Raw genomic sequence first — 17,137 nt, 5'->3', positions numbered from 1 at the left:
CTTCTATCGGCCTTGTTCGTAAGGACTAATTCCCTGTAATTACTTGAGGACCTCATAAATTGTGGTCAGTTTTGTAGGTTTCCTCTCTTTCCTTGTCTCCCTTTCCCCTTATTCTCTCTCACACAAATGGACATAATCCCCACTCCACACGCAAAGAAATCTATAACTTTCATTACCTGATGTATTGAATAAAATTGATTAATGTGCAGCTTTCCCATCTTTGTTGTTGTTCATGCTGCTGTAAGTATAAGAACCATGAGATTCTCAGCTGTGTACTTCTCCAAGCTGAGTGGCAGCTTTGCTTATCATACTGAGATGGCCAACAATCCAAATGTCAATCATCAGCTTAACTGGTAAACAAATTGTGGAAAAGTCATTCATTGGCATACTACTGACTGTGACCACAATATACTAATGTTGGATACGCTCAACAGTATGGTTAAATTCTCATATGGTGAGTAAAATGAGCCAAACAAATAAAAGTACACACATATGATACCACTTTTATACATTCTCCCATCCAAGTACTAACCAGGCCCGACCCTGCTTAGCTTCCGAGATCAGACGAGATCGGGCGCGTTCAGGGTGGTATGGCCGTAGACACACTTTTATACATTCTATAGAATAAAAACTAAAGTTACATAAAGAATCAGTAGTTCACTGTGAATATTATAGAAGGGAAAGTGTAGACAGGAGGAATTACAGAAAAGAGAAAATTTTAAGCATAATTGACTTGTTATCTATATTGATAATAATGATGTCTATGATAATATTTGTACAATTGAACACTTCATGTGAAGATCTTTTTTTTTAGTTTAACATCATTAAAGATAGTACTAACTGTAACGTGTGTAATTTGGTAGAAACGGAGTCAGACAGAGATAAAATACATAAAAAGTCAGAGACACCTGAATATTCACATGAGTGAGCCTGCACTTCTCTATGTTTTTATGAAAACACTACAATACAGCAAAATAATGACATCATTTTATGACGTGAAGGGGGTTTATTAAACCACTCCAGGCACGTTGTATTAGTTTGTTTTCCCACTGCTACAAAGAACTACCTGAGTTTGGGTAACTTATAAAGAAAATAGGTTATTGACTCATAGTTCTACATGGCTGGAAAGGCCTCAGGAAACTTGCAATCAAGGCAGAGTGTGAAGGGGAAGCAAGAGACATCTCACATGGCAGCAGGAGAGGTGGGGAGAACCACCACACACTTTAAATTATCAGATCTCCTGAGACCTCAATCTGAGACCTCAATCATGAAAACAGCATGGAGGAACCACCCCATGAGCCCATCCCCTCTCACCAGGTCCCTCCCTGGACGTGTGGCAATTCCAATTCGAGATCAGATTTGGGTGGGGACACAGAACCAAACCATATCACATGTCCAGTTCTGTCCCAGAGTTGGTTCAGGAATCAGATGTGTCCTGTTAACAGGAGCTGTGACACCAAGCTCCCAGCACCACTTGTAGTTGACGTCATGCAAAGGCCAAGATATCTCAACTAAGATTTAGTGTGGATGTGATGTTGGATGGTGACACACCCTCAGACCAAGTGGATATGGAAGGGATAATTATCTCTATTCTAGACGTGTCTGCTGAGAGCAGGGCAGTTCTCTCAGGAAAGTGCAAAATGGCTTGATAGAACAGGGAAAGAGAGGGCCTCAGGGTTTGGTGGTGGGGGCAGATTGAGTCTTTCCACTCACAGAAAGGGGTTTATAGGGTGGGAAACTCCCACTGGCTTCAAATAAGGAAGCTCCTGTGATTCTGGACCGATATTCACCTTGTGTGTAAAAAAGGAGGTAATGGAGGAATGAGCCTTAAGCTATCAGCAGTCACACACCAAAATACAGTGTGACAAGTTATTCTATGTAGCAACTATAAAAATAATGAATAAAAAACGAGATAAGGGTTCAATATGATGGGCAACACTCAGGTCTACAGAAAATGAGATGAGTGTTTATAAGTCAAAGCAAATAATAATGAGAAGCAGGAGGAGGGTGTGCAGAATTAGACAGGGGTCCAGGTCCAGTGACTTGGGTGGAAACCTTTTGCTATTAAGGATTATCAGCTTAGTCTGAAGGTCTTAGGTCAGCTATCTGTTTAAAGACATCAGAAACACCAGAGAATCTTTGAGGATGCTCAGATTAACATCTCCTATTTTAGTAGCCTTGCAGTTGTGTGAAAACCTTTTTTATCTTATTTCATTTTATTATTTATTTATTTATCTGTTGAGATGGAATTTCGCTCTTGTTGCCCAGGCTGGAGCGAAATGGCACGATCTTGACTCACCGCCTCTTCCACCTCCCAGATTCAAGCGATTCTCCTGCCTCAGCCTCCCAGTAGCTGATATTACAGGCATGCACCACCAGGCCCAGCTAATTTTGTATTTTTAGTAGAGATGGGGTTTCTCCACATTGGTCAGGCTGGTCTCAAACTCTCAACCTCCGGTGACCCGCCCACCTTGGCCTCCCGAAGTGCTGGGATTACAGGTGTGAGCCACTGCTCCGGGCCGAAAATCTTATTCATTCTTTTTTGTTTGTTTTTAGAGACAGAGTCTCTCTCTGTTGCACGTTGAAAGTGGAGTGGTGTGATAACAGCTCACTGTAAATTTGAACTCTTGGCTCACAGAGTATGTTCCTATGTATCGTGCAGGTGTGTCTGTGTGTGTTTACCCGGCTTGGGGTCCTCTAATTTTTGGATCTGTAGTTAGGTGTTTCACATTCTTAAGATATTTTTCTTAAGAAATATATCTTAAGATATAAGTATATCTTAAGATATCATTAATTCTTAAGATATTTTCTCTGTTTCTAATTTCTATTTTTGAAATTTGAAATATATCTACACTATACTTTTTGATGTTAGTTCTTAAATTTCTTCACTCTTTTTCCCTTTGAAATTCACTTTGTGTAATTTCCAGTAACGGAGTTGAAGTCCCTGGTTTCATTTAAGAGCTGAGCGAATTCTACTGCTGAGCGTGCCCAAGGTATATTCAACTTTATACTGCATCACTTTTGATAATTTTATGAATTTCCATTTGATTCTTTCTTAGTATTTCTCTCTGTCAGTCACCTATCTAGTCTTGCACTGTGTCCACATTTTCTTTCAGATACTTTTAACAAATTCAATTACTTTAAATATCCTACTTAATAAGATAGTTCTAGTATTGTGTCATTTACAAATATCAATTCTGAGGATTTTTCCATTATGACTTTGGTGTTTTTTATAACTTATATGACTTTGATGAATGTTATAATTTTTGTTGATAACCAGCCATATTTGGACCCTTGATATTGACGTATTATTTTATTTTGTGCATTTCTGCCTGTATTTGACCACACCCTATCTGTGCTGGGCCTTGATTGTGGAGATGTCTGTGCATCTCTTCAGAGCTACATTTGACATTTACTTTTGCAACGGCTGTAGCAGTTGAAGTGTGTTCTTCTATGTCCACTGGAGACTTCAGATACTCTAGTGATACCTTGTTTTCATGCCTGCTTGGCTTTGTCTATTCACCTCATTCCATTCTACAGAGAATCTCCTTCACATTCCTAGGGTGGATTAAAGTGTTATATTTAACTGCCAATTGTGAAATTGGCGGAAGGCATTAGACTAAAGGAAGAAACTGACCTCTCGTTGGGCCATAATTCTAGAAAGCCGTTGTGATCCTGAGTCTGAGTGTGACCTTCCAAGTTTTCCCGACCCTCCTGCAAGTGAGATACTGGTCTGTGTGTTCTTGCCTCTTCCCCTGGGGTAGAGTCCTCCTGTTTTCCCCAGTTGTTCCCTCCCACAGCTCTCACAATCTCTGTTGGTGTCCCCATCTTCCAGATCTGCTGCCATGACCTGCAGATTAAGGCTCTGATTCCATAAGAAACTGAGGGGAGCTGCTTCTCAATAGATCTTTGATGGGGACCTCTGTTCCCATATCAGTTCATGAGGGGCTGCTCCAGTGCCCTAGGATGCTGATTTTCATGGCTTGCTCCTGCAGGGTAATATCTGAGTTTCATAGTGGGAATCAGAGAGTTGGGTCTGGATGCATTTCAGAAGTGTGGGCTCTCATTCTCTCCCAGACAGTCACTTTGGGAAGGATAGATTCTTGTGACTGTAAAGGTTCTTCAAGAGAATAGCACAACTCTTCAGTATGTTGTCCCTTAGAATTTCTCACTACAACACGCTTAACACACTCGACTTCAAGCAATGCAATGTGTATTTGTGCTCCATCTTGTAATGGCCTACGTTGAATACGACAGACTGTGCCTCAGGTAATTTCATATCTTGACTTTATTACTCTGTACTAGAACTTGCCTCTCCCTAGATTTCAATTTTTTTTGTTTTAAACCTTCAGTTATCTGAAGCATTTAATAAAATTTGCGAACTTCCATCTTTTCTGTTTATCTGTTATTGCTGATGTTATTGTTTTAAAAATAAATATATATTTCTCATTCATGTACATTTTTAAGCTGAGCAGCATATTTTTAAGTAAAACCTGGAATAATAAAAGAATCCAAACATTTTTCAGCTGCCCCAAAAAAACCAAATTATGGTAAATGTGTTCACTGGAACACTACTCATCACTTATAATAAATATATTTCTGGTACACAGAGCAACAAAGAAAAATATCTAAGTGTTTATGCTGAGTAAAATACGCCAGACAAATAAGAATATGTACCATATTACTCCATTTATGCAATTTCTTTTAAGTGAAAAAGAATCTAAAGCAATATCCAGAAGATCAGTAGTTACCTGGAAAAAGGGTAGACCAAAGGAAGGGGAAAGGAGGAAACTTACAGAAGAACAAGAGAAAATGTTGAGGGGAGTTCACTTGTCCAGCTTGGAAATGATGGGTTACATCATGTTGATCAATTGCACACTTTAAATATGTGAAGTCTATTATCTGCCAATTAACACTCGCAAAATTTATTGCAAGCAGACAAATGAAAAATTAGACAAAGAAAGGATGGTATAAAGATAGAAAATATATATTAAATGTCAGAAATGTCTGAGAATTTAACTCCTGACCCTAGTTCCGTCCTTATTTTTAGGTGAATGGTAGCGTGCACCAAAATCACACACATTCTCAGTACAGGAAGTGGGTTCCACAAAGCACACGAGGTATGTCCAATTCTTACCAAGATTTGGTTCAGGGAGTAACAGTGATGAGGAATCACAGGCCCAGATACCGGGGCTCACTCATCTCAGACATGACCTCGTGGACACACACTTAGCCCCTCCTCCATGTGTAGGTTGACTTCCACATATGTAAATGGAGAAACCATTGACTCCTACAGAACATAATTTACAGAAATATACAAAAGATAAAATAGTGCAAATACTTATCACAACAAAATTTCCTAATAAGACAGTGTATTTTCCAAATACCGTAATTGTCACCCAACTCCTGTGGGGCCGTGTCATTTTATCTGGGGTCTGCCGTCTCCTCAGGATTCCCACCCCAGAGCTCTCTATGTAGTAGGAGACAAGCAAATAGGGCCCTCCCTCTGCTGCTGAAAATCAGCCAAATCCTGACCCTGCAGCTCTGGGAGAGGAGCCCCCGCCCCGGGATTCCCAGCTGTCTCCACTTGGTCATGAACACTGAACACAGAAGACACACCATGGAGTCTGGGCTGAGCTGGATTTTCCTTGTTGCAGTTTTAAAAGGTGATTTATGGAGAATGAGACACACTGAGTGTGACTGGACATAAGTGAGAGAAACAGTGGATTTGTGTGGCAGTTTCTGACCAGGGTGTCTCCGTGTTTGCAGGTGTCCAGTGTGAGGTGCAGCTGGTGGAGTCTGGGGGAGGCTTAGTAAAGACTGGAGGGGTCTCTGAGACTCTCCTGTGCAGCCTCTGGATTCACCTTCAGTAGCTCTGCTATGCACTGGGTCCACCAGGCTCCAGGAAAGGGTTTGGAGTGGGTCTCAGTTATTAGTACAAGTGGTGATACCGTACTCTACACAGACTCTGTGAAGGGCTGATTCACCATCTCTAGAGACAATGCCCAGAATTCACTGTCTCTGCAAATGAACAGCCTGAGAGCCGAGGGCACAGTTGTGTACTACTGTGTGAAAGACGCAGTGAGAAGTCAGTGTGAGCCCAGACACAAACCTCCTGCAGGGTACCTGGGACAATCAGGGAAAGCCTGGGACACTGTATACTGGGCTGTCCCCAGGGGCAAGTCCAGGTGATATAAGCCTGGGTTTCCTGTCATGATCTAGGGTTGCATTGTTAGCAAATTACCCCAGGGACCATCTCTAGATTTCCAATTCTGTAATAACATTTGATGTCGTCTCTGACTGCACAATGTCCCCTCAACTTTGTATCTTTTTTTTTTTTGTAACAGGAGGACACATCCTCACCCTGCAGAAGCCTGAGTGTCACTTTGGGGGCAGAAATGACCTGCCTTGATCACATTGATCACTGTCCTGAGGAAAATACCCCACAGGGGACCCCGATGACTCCAGCAAAGGCTCTGCCTCAAAACCATTGAAGAGTCCTTCCTTTCATTAGAATTGACCACAGCACCTGGGCTTCAGCACAAGCCATACCACAGACGTCACAAAGCAGCAGCTTGACACCTGATCCAGGTGCATTTTCTCACCTTTAGAAGCTGAGAGAGGGGTGTATTCTCAAGGTCAACACACTCTTTGTGGGTTTTTACACAGAAAACCTGCTTTTACTTTATTTCATTTGAAGATAAATGAACAAATGTGCATCTATAAATGATTGTAATTTTCACATTTATTCCAAATCCAATATTTCTGAATTCTGCATAATGTCCTGGCACAAGGTTGTGTTTTCTATAGGTATTTTTCAACAGACCAAGAAAATGCATTTTCCAATTTCCCTGTTTTTCCTCCATGTGCAGAGACCTTGAGTAGAGCACGTCTGACTGTGTTTGTCTGTTTTCACGCTGCTGATGAAGACATACCAGAGACGAGGAAACTTACAATAGAAAGAGTTTTATTGGACTTACAGTTCCACGTGGCTGGAAAGGTCTCACAATCATGGTGGAAGGTGAAAGGCACATCTGACATGGCGGCAGACAAGAGAAGAGAGCTTGTGCTGGGTCTCCCCTTTTTAAAACCATCAGATCTCATGAGACTCATTCACTATTAAGAGAACAGTGCAGGAGAGACGCAACCCCCATAACTCAGTCACCTCCCACTGGTCCCTCCCACAACATTGAGAATTATGGGAGTTACACATCAAAGTGAGATTTGAGTGAGGACACATCCGACCCATATCATTCCACCCCAGGTTCCCTCCCAAATCTCACGTCCTCACATTTCAAAACCAATCATGCCTTCCCAACAGCTCCCCAAAGGCTAAACTCATTTCATCATTAACACAGAAGTCCACAGTACAACATTTCACCTGAGACAAGGCAAGTCCTTTCCACTTATAAGCCTGTAAATTCAAAAGCAAGTTACAGGCATTGGGTAAACACACCCATTGGAAATGACAGAAATTGCCCATAACAAAAAGACCCCATGCAAGTCCAAAATCCAGCAGGGCAGTCAAATCATAAAGCTCCACAATGATCACCTGTAACTCCCCTTCTCACATCCGGGACATGTTGATGCAACAGGTGAGTTCCCATGGTCTTGGGCAGCTCCACCCCTGTGGCTTTGCAGGGTACAGCCTCCCTCCTGGCTGCTTTCACAGGCTGGTGTTCAGTGTCTGTGGATTTTCCAGGCACAAAGTGCAAACTGTCAGTGGATCTACCATTCCAGGGTCTGGAGGATAGCAGCCCTCTTCTCACAGCTCCACTAGGCAGTGCCCCAGTAGGGACTCTGTGTGGGAGCTCTGGCCCTATATTTCCTTTCCTCATTGCCCTAGCAGAGGTTCCCCATGAATGAGCCACCACTGCAGCCAACTTGTGACTGGACATCCAGGTGTTTTCATACACCTTCTGAAATCTAGGCAGAGGTTCTCAAACCCCAATTCTTAGCACTCTTTCCATAATGGTTCATTTTTTTGGCCTGTTCATTACTGGTATTTTTCAAAGGAATCTCACTTGAATCTTTACTCTTTTGCAATTTGTCTCCATGACAATGTTGGGAAGTTTTATCTCCACCATCATAACATGATCTAGTGATCTCACACATTTGTGGCAAACAATACCTACAAATTCAGAAGCTCTTTGCTTTTCTTTCCATGAAATATAATTCTTTCTGTTCTGTGTATAAGCATATCTTAGCAACCCTGCACACACCCACATAGATGTCCACAAGCCTATGAATTATTCTCTGTAAATAAAAACTTATATCAATTTCCCTCAATGTTCATAATTCTCCTGAGTGTGAGGAAGCTCCTTCTCGATCTGTTCAAACAAAATGCCCAGAGACCATCCGGTAGGTAAGGAGTTCACCTGGCTCTGGTGTGGGGTCTGTCTCTTTCCCTCTGTTGTCCCACAGGTCAGCCCAGTTGTTCACGTCCTAACAAGAAAGCCCAGGTTTGTTCTGATTTTAAAACACTTCAAACTTCTGATGACTCTCCTGTTACCCACATCCATGGAGATAGATTATTTATTATATAATTCACCAAACTAATGTCAAATGTCCAAGTTGCAATACCACACATCCTAGGGTATGTTCATGCAATTCAATGGAGGAGAAAGTCTTTCAGAGACAGATGGATCTGAAATGATAAATATGTGGGTAAGGACTCTGGACTTGAGTGTCATTGTCCAGCCATGTTTCACAAGTGTGTCCTGTCAGGGAAGGATCAGAGTTCCTTGTGCTCTCAGAGGGAAGGGGTCACAGAGTTCCTCTCTGGTTCCCAGGAAAGGTAATCGCACTAATCTTCATGATCTTCATGAGACTATCCTCCAGTGCTGACCTGTTATAGAGTTTTTGTCTGAAGTTCTCACTGCAATCCCCAATCTACATATTTTCAATCAGAAGTGTTTAGAGGCCAGGACACATCTTCAAGGTCACACATTGAGAAGGATGTAGATATGTCCCACTACCTTCTCCTGAGATCTCAGACAGAATCCCAGATTTCAAAAGGACACAGAAGGACAGCTCTCAGGTGCTTTTAAAAAATGACCCACTTCCAGGGACAGGGAGCTTCCCTATAACCATGGTGGATGTTCTGAACTACAATAAACATTGGATGGATCCAGGATTGTTTGAAGTCACTGTCATTATTACATTCAGCTGCTGTTTCAATGTGTCTGAAGTAGTAAATGACAATTTAGATGACAATTTATATGAATCTTCAAGGGTAGAACAATATTGACCATATTCCAAAATCTGTCCTTGATCCATGATCACACTCATCTCCCAGACCAGGTCCTTCAGCACGTCTCTTTACCTGAAAGAAGAGGACTCTGGGCTTGGAGAGGGGAGACCCCAAGAAGACAACTGAGTTCTCAAAGGGCACAGCCAGCATCCTACTCCCAGGGCGAGCCCAAAAGACTGGGGCCTCCCTCCTCCTTTTTCACCTCTCCATACAAAGGCACCACCCACATGCAAATCCTCACTTAAGCACCCACAGGAAACCACCACACATTTCCTTAAATTCAGGTTCCAGCTCACATGGGAAATACTTTCTGAGAGTCCTGGACCTCCTGTGCAAGAACATGAAACATCTGTGGTTCTTCCTTCTCCTGGTGGCAGCTCCCAGATGTGAGTATCTCAGGGATCCAGACATGGGGATATGGGAGGTGCCTCTGATCCCAGGGCTCACTGTGGGTCTCTCTGTTCACAGGGGTCCTGTCCCAGGTGCAGCTGCAGGAGTCGGGCCCAGGACTGGTGAAGCCTTCGGAGACCCTGTCCCTCACCTGCACTGTCTCTGGTGGCTCCATCAGTAGTTACTACTGGAGCTGGATCCGGCAGCCCCCAGGGAAGGGACTGGAGTGGATTGGGTATATCTATTACAGTGGGAGCACCAACTACAACCCCTCCCTCAAGAGTCGAGTCACCATATCAGTAGACACGTCCAAGAACCAGTTCTCCCTGAAGCTGAGCTCTGTGACCGCTGCGGACACGGCCGTGTATTACTGTGCGAGAGACACAGTGAGGGGAGGTGAGTGTGAGCCCAGACAAAAACCTCCGTGCAGGGAGGCGGAGGGGACCGGCGCAGGTGCTGCTCAGCGCCAGCAGGGGGCGCGCGGGGCCCACAGAGCAGGAGGCCCGGTCAGGAGCAGGTGCAGGGAGGGCGGGGCTTCCTCATCTGCTCAGTGGTCTCCCTCCTCGCCAGCACCTCAGCTGTCCCCAGGGGTCCTCTTTCTTTATTATCTGTGGTTCTGCTTCCTCACATTCTTGTGCCAAGAAAGAAATGAGGAAGACAAATTTTCGTCTGTAGTTGAAGTTTCACCAATTACTAGGAACTTTCCTAGAAGTTCCTGCATGGCCCATTATAGCTTACTGATTAAAAAATATATATTCTAACGCTTCTCAGCATCTCTTGATTTGTGTCATCAACTGAATTGTGCCCTCTTTGAAATTCATATGCAGAAACCTTAAATTCAATTGATGTATATTGGAATTTTAATGAAATAATTAAGGTTAAATGTGGTCATAAGTGTAAGACTCTAATTCAACAGACGTGTCGTCTTTATAAGAAGAGGAAGAGACACCAGAGACCTCTCACTTTTCACGTGCAGGCAGAGAAGAGGCCATGTGGAGACGTAATGCACTAGAAGGTGGCCCAGTGCAAGCCAGGAAGAAGCCTCACCAAGAACCAACCCTGCCAGAACATTGATCTTCAACATTCAGACTGCAGAATTTTAAGAAAATCAATATTTGTTGTTTAAGCCACCCACTCCTGTTGTCTTCTTATGAAGATCCAGACAGACTAATACCACATAACTCTGTTAGCGCTGTCCCCTGGATGCAGAATCAGCCCGCTGGGGCTGGGCACATCTCTCAGATTTCCACATAAAGTAGGCAAAAAATAGTAGTTCTGATATAAAAATTTGTCATGTCCCTGTTGGCCAATTTCTGGGCAAGGTCTTTTAAAGAAGCCCTGGGGGCTTTGTCACAAAAGTTGCCTTTTATCATTTATTAGGACATAACTGATGAACAATGAGTACCAGTTGGATGGAGACTGACCACTGACCATCTTCTGCTGTCTCCTAAGTATGCCACAGAAAACCACACCAACATTACTCTATGTCTTCAACTTTCTAAATTTGCACTGATTGGTATTTAAGGCAGGCCCAGCGTTGAATAACTCCTTTAGTTTTTGCTTCTCTGGGAAAGGTCTTATCTATCCTGGCCTTGGTCTTCAAGTTTCAGCAATTCTGGGAAGCCAAGGACGCCTCTATCTCCTCCTCCATGCTCTGCAACTCACCTGAGAACAGCTTTCTCATTGGAATGTCTTCTGTTTAAGGAATAAGAGTCCCTGTTTCAGGCTTGGGTGCCTGAGTACACCTACTGGATCCAGCCCAGGATTGGAGAAACTTTCCAGAACACATCACCTGAGAAATGACCAGTCACACTGTTACACTTTCACAATTTCCGCTTCCTCATGAGAAAATTAAAATTGCAGAGACTTTTTCATAAGCGTTGTGCCATGTCCTTTCTTGTTTTCTTGCCTGTTCATTTATGTCAGACCAGGTGCCACATCTATGTAATCAGGTTAGAATCCTGCCTCCAGTAACACATGAAAAGGACCTATGGTTGTACTTTTGGTCTTTGCTCCAAAGTGTAAAGATTACAAAAGTCATCACCCTCATTCTTATGCCAAGAGTCATCTGCACAATCTGATCTTCAATACATTTTAGAATCCATCAAATGAATGAAATTCCATTTTTTAAATTACCACCCCAAAAACTAGAGAGATGGGCATGTCCAGAATAGCAGTTGATGGTTGCTTAACTGGAAGAGAAGTTTCAGAAGCCACAAGCTGTTGAAGGCACTTACGTGGTTAGCACTATAGACGTCTGCAAGACAGATGTGGACTAGGGTGAAATGACAGTTCCAGAGGGCCGCACTCTCCTCAGTCTTCTGGAATTTCCCTCTAGAAATCTCCAGAATCTAAAAAATACAATCCAAATATGTTTCCTATGGGTCATAACTGGGGAAGTTTAATTACTGAAAAATATATCAGGAGCCTTCTCCAAAAGATCCTACAGGGAAGAACTTTTCCAGAACCTCATACTATGTGAAGGGAAGAAAAATCTGCCCATTCCAGATCCCTCCCCACTTCCTCCATTATTATACAAATGAGTAAGTTTAGCCAATAGGGTAAGATGTAAGCAAATAGTCCAGGGAAACTGAAGCCACAAAAAGGAGTAAAGATGAAAATTCAGCTTTTCCCCTGGAGATGCCTGGTCAAGGTCACAGCCCAGAAAAGGAATCTGATTGAGTCTCTAGGTTTCCATGGTCAGAACAAGCAGTGCTGACCCGCACTGCACAATCCTTTCTAACCAGGATGATGGCTCTGGATTAAATATGAGAGTGTGCCAATGCACAGTCTCTGAGGAGAACATAGGGACACTAAAAAAGCAATGGCAGGGAGTTAGACAAGGACAGTAGAGCAATATGAAGCCTCTGACGTGAACATTTTTAAAAACAAGATCTTGGAAACTCCCTCATTCACCTCAGCTTCTTTTATCATGAAGACTTTCCAAGATTCTTAACTGAGACAAACAAAATAACAACCTGCATGCACTTCCGAAGTCTCCGCTTGTATCCTGTTTGCTTTAGATCTCTAGGAGAAAAATGTCAGACACCTGGGCCTAGTGTCAATGTGGGAGGCACTTTCTACAGATGAGGCACAAGAAGGAAGGGAAAACGTGTGTTATTGGAATAGTGGATATGAAGTGTGCTCTCATCTGAAAGCATCTGCACCTGCTGGAAATCTCAGATGCAACATTCAACTGCAAGAACCAAGGCACACCCAAATCTCCTGTAAGATTTTGGATTCATTATCCACTGATTCAGTGCAACTGGAGCTTCAGAGAAGGGGCTCCCTCCTGTGTCATAGCATCCTTGCTTTGAGTTCATTAGATTTAGTAAGGCTAATCAATTGTTTGAAGAGATGGTGTCAGCAGCGTATGCTGTCACTGAAGGAGTATTCTAAACCAGGACAAAGCCATTTCATGTTAGGCGAGGGAAGCTGGTGGAAAATGCTTTATGAGCCCCACAGGAACTTCCTTGCAAGGCAAGGGCTGGGCTGGAGGGGGCGCGCAGGAGCCGCCCAGCACAGGTTCCATCCCCGGAGGGGTGCACAGGAGGCTGGGGACGAGGTTCCCTCTCAGCGCCTGTGTCTTCCTTTGGCAACAAAAAAAATCCTAAGTGTTCAAGAAGTTGCTGATGTGTCTTTAAGTATCCTGTTCCGTCAGAGCCTTTCCTATAACTGAAGGCAACCAGAACTGTGTTTTAAAGTCGGTTCCGAGGACTGCAAGTATCTTAATAGTGAGGATATAAAGGATAGGAATGGTTTTACTAATTGAAAGGATACAGAATTGTGGGGTTCCGAGGACTGCAAGTATCTTAATAGTGAGGATATAAAGGATAGGAATGGTTTCACTAATTGAAAGGATACAGAATTGTGGGAGTCACTATGTTCCTATGAATAAAAAATTCAGATTTCAGTGTTAAGTAATGTTGCCTACATTGTGTGAGTGACAGGGCAGTGGTGGATCTGAGAGTGTGGCAGGTGCACAGACCTAGTGAGTCAGAAATCAATATGGAAAGATGAGGATCTATGGATATGAACTGAAAGTAAGTAAACAGTTCATGAAATTCTATTAAATGGAGTAGGAAATAAAACCCAAACTTATCCAAAACACAAATTCCTTGGCGATTATTTTGGGAGCAGTGAGTTCATCAGGAACCCCAAACTTCTCTTACGTCTTCTGATTCCTGTTGTCCATGAGATGAGAAATTCAGCTCTAATTGTACATCACAGGGCAAATCTGTAAACCAGGAGTGTTTCTATTGAGGATCATGGTGGATCAGGATTCCAGGCAGGTGCTGGAGACACTGTCTCAGGAGCGCCCAGATGATCTCAGGGGGACCTGCTGGACACTCACGTGGGACATCAGCAGTCACTTTCTCAGAGTAACCAGTGAGCTGTGCTGGTGCCTGATGGGACTAGGATGGGGTCAAGGCACCTTCTCAGTGTCATGGAGAGTGATTGTTCCAGAAATCATCCAGGTGGTCTCTACGCTAATCAAATATGGGTTCACAGGGAGGAACATGTGCTCTGGGTGCTTGGTCTTCAGTGAAAGGACGTCTGGCCACCAAAAGTTTGTAAATGGAGCAGGGCATGCATTTCCTCAAGGAGGATTAGGGCTTGGAGCATCAGCATCCCACTCTTGTAAGGCTGATGTGTCATTTACCTTCCCTTTCTTATCCCAAATCAGGGTCTTCAGCTATGAAATGCTCTGACTCATGAATATGCAAATAACCTGAGATGCACTGAGGTAAATATGGATATTTGTCAGCCCTGAGAGCATCATCCAGAAACCACATCCCTCCGCTAGAGAAGCCCCTGACGGCACAGTTCCTCACTATGGACTGGATTTGGAGGATCCTCTTCTTGGTGGGAGCAGCGACAGGCAAGGAGATGCCAAGTCCCAGTGATGAGGAGGGGATTGAGTCCAGTCAAGGTGGCTTTCATCCACTCCTGTGTTCTCTCCACAGGTGCCCACTCCCAAATGCAGCTGGTGCAGTCTGGGCCTGAGGTGAAGAAGCCTGGGACCTCAGTGAAGGTCTCCTGCAAGGCTTCTGGATTCACCTTTACTAGCTCTGCTGTGCAGTGGGTGCGACAGGCTCGTGGACAACGCCTTGAGTGGATAGGATGGATCGTCGTTGGCAGTGGTAACACAAACTACGCACAGAAGTTCCAGGAAAGAGTCACCATTACCAGGGACATGTCCACAAGCACAGCCTACATGGAGCTGAGCAGCCTGAGATCCGAGGACACGGCCGTGTATTACTGTGCGGCAGACACAGTGTGAAAACCCACATCCTGAGAGTGTCAGAAACGCCAGGAAGGAGGCAGCTGTACTGGCATGGAGGGGATGACAAAGGTTATTAGATTGAAGATTTTCTTAGAAAACGACTTCAAGTCATTAAAGAAGAGGAACAACATAAATGTGTATTTGTGAAATTTTAATTGAGAGATTTTTCATACAACATTTATTCTGTAAGCTATTTCAGGGATTGGAATATGAATCAAATTAATAAAGCTGATATAGACATCCTCTGAAGGCATCTTCGTAAACATCAATTTCTGAATCAGTGTTGTAAATATTTTGGAACACAGACACAAGATCACATTTTTACTCTACTTTTATCTCTATTTTTAAAAAATGCCAAAAAGAATCTTATTTTGTGCATGCCCCATTTTGAATTCCCACCGTCAATGCATGATAGTTCTTGGTTTTCCTCATTCAAGTTGTCATTTGTCATTAAGAGTGTTGTGTGTTTTAACCATTCTAATAGGTGAGTAACGGTATCTAATTTTTATTTAAATGCACATGTCCCTAAAAAATTCATATTTAACAATTTTTATATAATTTTTGGTGAGATGCCTCTCGTGATATTTGGTTCATTTTTTAAATGCATTTTTTATCAGTTGTAAGTATGCTTGCATATTGATTATAAAAGTCATTTAACAAATTAAAATAATTCATTTAACAAATATGCATCTTGGAATTTTTTTCTCCAAGTCTGCAGTTGTCTTTTACTCCCTTATCCCTGTGTATTGCAGAAAAATGTTTGTGTGTGTGTGTGCCTGTGTATGTACAAATTTAGATTTTAAAAATGTACATTTTTATTCATTTAAAGATCATGTCTTTGGCAGTATATCTGAAATCTCATTGTAAAAGACACAATAGTCATTATTTTTTCCATGTCTCTAATCTTAGGACACAATCAACTCATGAGTGTTTAACCTTCCCTACCTGATTGGAGGACTATCCACCTGAGACATTTGGAATACTTCTGTAAGGAGATGTGTCCTTCCCATTATTTCTTTATTTAGTCATCTATTGATGTTCCTATTGGTTTATGGATGTCTATTTCATACTCCGAAGAAGATCCTTGTTACATTACTTGTTTTATTGTTCAAAACACCACAGCTTTATTAGGTGCTGGGAGCTCATTTAGTTTGGATCCTGCATCCTTACAGCACACCTCATCTTTTTGTTTTTAGACATTTCCCTGTTTCCAAGTATTACAATAAATTCTAAGCTTGTTCTCTACGTTACCTTTTTTGTACATAGAATCAGCCATTTTTCTAAAGACTGCTTGTTTTTCATGTTAAAGAACAGTATTGAAATTTAAAAATGTGATCCTGGGTATGTGTGTTGTTAATGTGGTATCAGTACTTCTTCTAGGATATCTCCACCAATTGGCCTAGTAAATGGGCATGTTTATAGGAACCCAAGTTTATGGACACATCGAAACTATTTATGTATCTAATCCTCTGTAATGTGATTACATTAAAAATGAGAACACACTGGTGTCTCCATCCAACTATGCTACCATATGGATGTTTCCAGCCTTCCTTCCCTCACTGTCCATAACCACCCACTGCAAAGTGAGGAACCCCATCCCACCATATGCCATTTTATTACTTAGCTGCACAATTTCAGGACACATGCATAGCAGTATCAGAAATGTAAAGCTCGTTGGAAACATGTTTATCTACTAGAACAGACTGCTTATGTGCAGTTTCTTTACACTGTAAACTTATAGAATTTCTTCATTTTCAAAGTTGCTTAGGTCAGCAACTTCATTTTCCACTCTCCTCAGTGAAGTCATTTCAATGACAATGTATAATGTCATTTATTTGAAATTCTTTCAAAGCCAAAACTATAGTCCGGTAAACATATAGAGGATATTCAAGGAATTTAGAGAGTGGGTATAAAATAAGTAAAAATGGCACTGTTTAAGAAGAGTAAAATTGTTTTTAGTGATATACAATGGTTGAGACACAACACAATTAATTTGGCTAAGCTCATACTTTTGTGACAGAAAATATAAACCTAAATATATACAATTTTTGTAAAAAAACTTTAGCAGTTCATTAACCCCAGGGTTAAACAAGACTGTGTAAAATTATCTAATAACTTATTTGATGAGGGTGGGGATATCATGAGACATATGCAACAAAGAATGAAGGCATTTTCCTCATTTGCATGTAAGATGTTACCATTCACTA

At 42.3% G+C, this 17,137-nt stretch overlaps 2 pseudogenes, 2 gene segments (V, D, J or C) and 1 further gene; 4 read left to right on the top strand and 1 right to left on the bottom strand.

Annotated features, from left to right (window-relative positions):
- The window catches only part of IGH (immunoglobulin heavy locus), a 1,293,408-nt gene that overhangs the window by 242,571 nt on the left and 1,033,700 nt on the right, over positions 1–17,137 (top strand).
- RNA5SP389 (RNA, 5S ribosomal pseudogene 389) lies at positions 413–702 on the bottom strand (annotated as a pseudogene).
- On the top strand, positions 5,621–6,077 carry IGHV3-60 (immunoglobulin heavy variable 3-60 (pseudogene); annotated as a pseudogene). Its single transcript is given in 2 exon segments — positions 5,621–5,666; positions 5,770–6,077. Coding segments are annotated over 2 exon segments (354 nt in total).
- On the top strand, positions 9,594–10,025 carry IGHV4-59 (immunoglobulin heavy variable 4-59). The segment is given in 2 exon segments: positions 9,594–9,639; positions 9,722–10,025. Coding segments are annotated over 2 exon segments (350 nt in total), but the record flags the coding sequence as incomplete, so codon positions are not given.
- On the top strand, positions 14,480–14,917 carry IGHV1-58 (immunoglobulin heavy variable 1-58). The segment is given in 2 exon segments: positions 14,480–14,525; positions 14,611–14,917. Coding segments are annotated over 2 exon segments (353 nt in total), but the record flags the coding sequence as incomplete, so codon positions are not given.

This window comes from Homo sapiens, chromosome 14 (assembly GCF_000001405.40).
Source record: "Homo sapiens chromosome 14, GRCh38.p14 Primary Assembly".
Classification (NCBI taxonomy): domain Eukaryota; kingdom Metazoa; phylum Chordata; class Mammalia; order Primates; family Hominidae; genus Homo; species Homo sapiens.
The sequence above is the reverse complement of the archived record's forward strand: the minus strand, read 5'-3'. Positions and strand labels throughout refer to the sequence as shown.